Here is a 3,266-nt window from a genome sequence, read left to right as displayed (position 1 = left end):
AAATCTTGCACTTGTTTTGAAATTAAGCTGTTTTGATAAGTAGTTTATTCATCCTCAATTATTTTTCATTTAGTTAGTAAACACGTAAGACAGTCTCCTTGTATCCATGGTACTCCCTTTGCAACACCATACAATGTCTCTTCAGCCCCCCAGCAGTCACAGTAAGAGGAACACACTGAGTATCTGTTTGCTCAGTAGTGCTGGGTACTGTGCATTTTATTTTTTTCTACCTGTTTGTGTCTGGTTCCTCACAAACAGGTAGAAAAGGCTTCTTGGGAGATGACTTCATCATATGTGGTGGAGGCCCAAAGTAAAGTGAGACCAGGAGACAGGATATCTGGGTCTTCGTTCTAGATCTGCTTCCAAACAGTTTCATGATCTTGGGAAATTTACTCCACATTCAGTGAGCCTTAGATTTCTCATCTAAAATCGGTTACCTGTAATAGATCATTGTTTATCAAAACCGTTCCTTTTAGTTTTAGAACTCCCTTTTCAAATGAAATAGCTCACAGGAAACGACCCCCCATTAGCAGGCTCCAGGCACCACAATTGAGTCCCTAAAAACTATATAAATCAAGATTTGAAAAACATTGCATTATGTCCATCAACAGAAAATGGGTTTTAAGATGCGGTAAATGTGTGCAATGAAATATTATTCAGCAATAAAAAGGAACAAATTACGGATACATGCAACAATATAGATGAATCTCAAGAGCAGGCTGAGTGAGAGAACCCAGACACAAAGGAGTACAGACTGCATGATTTTATTTATAGTCAATATTTAAAAAAACAAAAACTAACATATAGTGAAAGAAATCAGATCACTGGTTGGAATTGGGGGTAGAGGGAGGAAGGGATGGGTTACAAGAAGGCAAAAGGAAACTTCTGTAGGTGATGAAATTGTTAGGTAGCTGATTGTTGTGGTGATGCTGTGAGCATCTGTCAAAACTCATAGAATTGCACACTGTAATTGGACAAAGTTTATTGTATACAAATTATGTCATGATAAAGTGGATTAAAATATCACTACATTAGTCATCTCTAGGGTTTCTTATGCCTTTAGATATAGTAAGTGGGATCTGGAATCAACCAGACCTAGATTTAAGTACTGGCTCTGTGGCCATGGGCAAATCACTCAGTTTCCACACTTCTAAATATGGATGGAAAATAGTGCCATGGCATTGAACCACTGTGTGAATTCTATGTGATAATAGATATAGAGAGCTTTGCTCAACCCCTAGCGTATCATAAGTTCTCAATAAATGGTAGCTGTATTTATAATTCTATGATTCTAAATAATTTTACAGACTTACTTTTACAAATTCGGAGGTGGCATATATATGATCTAAATTCTAATTTTGACTCCATTATCAATTATGTATGACTTTAGATGAGTCTCAATGTCTACTCTGTTTCCTCATTGTTAATACAGAGGGAAATTGTGGTGGTGTTTTTACCAATTCCATAGGAAAATTAGGGATATAAAATAGACTAATAGATTAGAAAGATGTTTTGAAAAACAAAAAGCAAAAATAAAACACTCTACACAAATGTAGGAAATAGCTATGATAATTTTTCTCATGATTCCAAGATTAAGTGAAACAAGGAGATTGTGCTTACGTAACAGGGCTTACCCTCAGTAAAGTTGTAAAGTTTCTGACATTTGTCTTCTGGCCTTTTATTATACCATTCTTTGTCTTAGTTTCCAATTTCAGTTATGCCTCACCTGCTGTCAACAGTTACAGAAGATTCTCTTGCTGTATAGGTCTCTTCTGTCAGTGAGAAAATTACTCTGATAAGTTCATTTACCTGAAGGTGAGTAACCTAATGGGTAGCCACTAACAATATTCTATGTAAAGAAAGAGCAAAAATAATACCTCTAATGGCAATTCAAGTCTCAGTAGGAATAATATTTGGGGTGGGAGCACTTCCTGAAGCTTCTCATATGTCAATCACTTCCAAAGATAAAGTCAGATCCTTTAAACCATTTTCTCCATCAGGGACGTTGTGTTATTTTAGACGTTTAGAAGCAAAGAAGGCTCATGTCCTTTTCAACATAACTTTCCTTATTGCCCGTTTAACATCTTTTTTTCTCAGGCTATATATCAGGGGGTTCAACATGGGTGTCAAAGCTCCATAAAACACTGAGATAAACTTGTCCTGGTCAGGGTAGGACTTGGACTGAGTTTTCATATACATGGAGATGGCTGACCCATAGAAGATTGTCACCACGGTCAGGTGAGAGCCACATGTGGTAAAGGCCTTGAGCCTGCCCTGGAGTGAGCGAATCCTTATGATAGCCATAGCAATTCGTATGTAGGAGAGGAGAACAAACCCAAATGGTAGCAGCAGGGTGAAGATACTGGTGATGAGGATCATAAATTCATTGAGGCTGGTATCAGAACAGGTCAGCTTAATGAGGGAGAGAATCTCACAGGCAAAATGGTTGATGACATTAGCCCCACAGAAGTGAAGCCTCAGGGATAGGATGAGCATGGCAGTGAGCACAAGTGATGTCCCCCATGAGGTAGCAACCAAGCAGACACATACTGGGCCATTCATAACCACTGAATAACGCAGGGGATTGCTGATAGCAACCACACGGTCATAGGCCATGGCAGCCAGTAGGAGGCACTCTGCTGTGGCCAAAGCCAAGGAGACACTCGTTTGAGCCAAACATCGGGGATAAGAGAGGTAGGGATGGGTAGAGAAACAATGCACCAAAGCCTGGGGCATGGAAGCTGTTCCATAACAAAGGTCTAAGAAAGACAGGTTACTAAGGAAGAAGTAGATTGGAGTGTGGAGGTTGGGGTCAAAGTGAATAAGAAAGATCATAAATCCATTCCCCAACAATGTGCTGAGGTAAATTATCAGCACTAATGTGAAAAACGTGTCTCTCCATTGAGGATAGTTAGAAATGCCAATAAGGAGAAACTGAAACACTGCTGTGACATTGTCCATGGCCATCTTTCCCTCTTGCCACTATTCATTAAATGGATGCCAATTGGCTACTTAGTGTTACCTGAAAGAATGGGAATAAAGATGGAGGGTGTGAGAAAGGTGGAAAGAATTAGGGTGTGCAGGATCATTATCTTTGTCCTTTTCAGAAGAATGGGACACAAATGGAATAGATATCTATAATGGGAACAGAGGCAAAGCTAGATATCCTCCCTCAATCCTAAGAAAATGGAAAGTTCCTTATCTTTTTGAAAATAGTTATATGAAAATTTCTCCAGCCCTCCTCCACTAGAGGTCTTCTTGAATAA

The 3,266-nt window shown here is 39.1% G+C and overlaps 1 protein-coding gene across 1 annotated transcript; it reads right to left on the bottom strand.

Moving 5' to 3' along the window:
- Positions 2,041 to 2,967, bottom strand: OR13H1 (olfactory receptor family 13 subfamily H member 1). The gene has a single exon (NM_001004486.1). The coding sequence runs from the start codon at positions 2,965 to 2,967 to the stop codon at positions 2,041 to 2,043; it is 927 nt and encodes a 308-aa protein (NP_001004486.1).

This window comes from Homo sapiens, chromosome X, assembly GCF_000001405.40.
Source record: "Homo sapiens chromosome X, GRCh38.p14 Primary Assembly".
Classification (NCBI taxonomy): domain Eukaryota; kingdom Metazoa; phylum Chordata; class Mammalia; order Primates; family Hominidae; genus Homo; species Homo sapiens.
This window is presented reverse-complemented; position numbering and strand designations above follow the sequence as displayed.